The sequence below is a fragment of the Homo sapiens genome (genome assembly GCF_000001405.40).
Source record: "Homo sapiens chromosome 15 unlocalized genomic scaffold, GRCh38.p14 Primary Assembly HSCHR15_RANDOM_CTG1".
Classification (NCBI taxonomy): Eukaryota; Metazoa; Chordata; class Mammalia; order Primates; family Hominidae; genus Homo; species Homo sapiens.
Genome location: NT_187382.1, coordinates 69038 through 71979, shown reverse-complemented (window position 1 = coordinate 71979; position 2942 = coordinate 69038). Strand labels below are relative to the sequence as shown.

The following is a 2942-nucleotide window of genomic DNA, read 5'->3' as shown; positions in this document are numbered from 1 at the left end:
GCTGCCCTGCGGGCTCACGGTCTGTGAGCGCTAAGTGGAGCTGGGGCCCGCGCGGCCACAGGCGCGGGCGCGTGAACGTGGTGCTGAGCCGCCTGCTGGAGAGGTGCTTCCCGGCCGAGTGCCTGCTGCGCAGGCTGGAGGGTCAGGCGCGGATCCTGCAGCGCCAGCAGCAGCCCGAGGCCGCGCTGCTCAGGTGCGACCAGGCCCTGGAGCTGTGACTTGGCTGTGGGGCTGGCCCGCCTCCCTGGCCCCTGTCAAGCCGAGCGGCTGGAGCTAACCCGCGGGCCTGGGCTTTTGAGCGCTTTGTCCAGGCGTAGGGGGTCACTTTGCTTACTAATGATGGGAAGGTGAAAGGTGGGGGAGGCCACTCCCTGCAGTCAGGGTGGCAGGTGTCAGAGGCCACATGCAACCCACTGGTTTTGTCTTTTCTAGGATGCTGATAAGTTTCCCGCGGCCCCCGGAGCAGCTCTGTAAGGCCCTGTAGTTGCCTTTCATTCCCTTCTGCTCTATTGAGGAGTGGGAGGATGACAAAGTGTTTTTGCTCAACCCGAAGGAAAATGCACATGGGAGGACACACCGGGTTACTATTTGAGTAGCCCAGGCAAGAGACCAGCGGCTGCTTCAGCCATGAGACCACCTCAGGCCAAAATAGCCTTGTGGTTGTTTTACTTCTTTTCACCAAATGGGTCTTTTTGGGGTTTGTGGCATGTCCCATGTAATGATGATCTCTTGGTTCCCCTTTCTCATTCACACCCGGGAGCTGAGGTGGGGTGGGGGAGTGGGGGGGGGAAGGGGAGTGGCCACCTGCGCCAGGTATGAGAGAAGCCACACCTGAGACCAGCCCCTCTGTCCTCCTGCCTCTGCATGCAGCGTCCCTGCAGGAGGCAGAAGGGGTGAAAAGTAGCCTCGATGTGAAAGTCCTTGTGTGTCCCTGAGGGGGGAAGTAAGTCACAGTCGGGACACTGGTTCCTGTCACTGGGTGCAGCACAAAGAAGGACCCCAGGACATGCGGTGCAGACGGGAGCACAGAGAGGGTGAGTGCTACTGGGGTGCACAGGCAGCTTGAGGAGGATGGAGATGGCAAACTTCCCTTTGTCACACCAGGTCCACGTTCAGGGCCGGAGGACCACCAGATCCCCAAAGCCTCCGGTGCTTCCGAGGCAGAGGAGAGGCAAAGCCGGTGGCCCCCGGCGTCCAGGGACCTGGCAGCCACCACTGAGGCCCACCTGCTTGTCCCTCAGCCGGGTGCCCACTGGCAGCCACACTCCAGGTCTCTGGGCTCTGCCCAGGACGTGTGTTTGGGCTTCTCTCCCCAGCAGAAGTCATCAGCGTACCCTCTGCATCCCACGGATTTGCTTTGTTTCTGAGGGAATAATTAAGGAATGTTAGTATGATATCAGAAAATAGCTAATTATGGTGAAGAGCTAACAGGGCAATCTGGGAAGCTGTGGAGCTCTAGTTAGTGATGACAGAAGAGGAACATATTTGACTGTTTTGTGCTACACCCAGGTTCTCAGGAGGTGGCCAGGGAGGAGACTTGGCACTGTGCCATGCTCAGAGCCCCTAGTCCCAGGGACTGTTTCCCTGTGGGAGTTTGGATGAGAGGCAGTTGGCTGGGAAGCTCAGGATGGAGTGAGGAAGGAGAACGACTTGAGGTGCTTGGGTTGGAAAGATCTAGTACCCCAGGAGGGACTGGCTGTGGCCTGCACACACCCCAAACTCACACACTCTGTCATGCTCACACAGACACGCACACACACTCATGGACCCAAGCTCACACACCACACTCACATGGCTTATTCACACACTTACACACATTAACACACATATGCACTCATATTTACACATCCGCACACAGTTATATTCCACATACACACTCATACTGCCAAGTTCAAACACCACTATCACACATTTCTTCACAAACATTCACACAACTCACATACACACTCTCACACACGTACACACTCACCTACCCACTCTCCATTACACACATTTACCTGTCCGTTCTCACACACATGCACAAACACAAAGCCAAATTAGAGCCATTTTCCTGGTCCCACACAAACAAAAATGATACCTCAGTTTCTTGATCTTGACCAGAATTGGGCACATGATTCCATCCAACCACAAGGTGGGGCGGGAATGAAATCCTATCACGTCCTCAGGCCGTGGAGAAAAAAAACTATGTCAGGCCTCTCTAATGCCTCCCACAAATGGGCAGGAGGGATTGAAACAGAAAAGGGGTTCCTCCTGACATGTGGCATTGATGGAGCCCGGTTCTGCCTCATGCCAAGCCCTGCCTTGCCCCTCGATGATGGAAAATGGTTGTGTGTCTTGTTTCCTGGCCTCCATCTCTGTCTTGGTACAGAGTAGAGACTTGAGTCTCAGTTCCAAAGACAGGAGTCCCGCTGAGCTGACCCGCCCACTGACAGATGAAGTCTTGCCATCTGCTGACCAAGTTCCCCAAGGCCCCTTGAGACTCAACTTCTGAAGAGGGTCTGCTCAGAATTCCCCGTCCCCATGATCTGCCCGGCTGTCGGGACACTGGTGAGCCTGCTCAGTGGGGAGTCCCTTTTCAGCTCAGTCAGCAAGTGGCTCTTCTCTATAAAGAGGCAGGGGATGAACCTCCTCTCTAGTTTTAGCAGAAGAGGCCATGAGACCCATGGCAGAGGCCAGAGCTGTGCAGGCTGTAGGAGGTACCACGTCAGGGATTTCAAATGGAGGAAGGTACTTTCCAGAGAGTACTGCAGGGAACCAAGCCATATCCACCGTAGCTGCAATAAAAACTCTGAGGCTCAGCTTAAACTCAATCCTAGAAATGATGTCCCAGCACAAACTTTGCAGGATAAGCAAAATCTAGAGAAGAGAAAATGCAGACCCAGGCAACGATAAACACAAGTCATCGGGACCACCACGGAGCAGATACAGTGCCTTCTCCACGT

The 2942-nt window shown here is 54.9% G+C and overlaps 1 long non-coding RNA gene across 1 annotated transcript; it reads right to left on the bottom strand.

Moving 5' to 3' along the window:
* Window positions 1-469: 469 nt before the first annotated feature.
* On the bottom strand, window positions 470-2606 carry LOC124905325 (uncharacterized). The gene is made up of 2 exons (XR_007068538.1): window positions 2078-2606; window positions 470-1363 (listed from the first exon to the last, which is right to left on the bottom strand). It is a non-coding gene; the product is annotated as an uncharacterized LOC124905325 (long non-coding RNA).
* Between the last annotated feature and the right edge of the window lie 336 nt (window positions 2607-2942).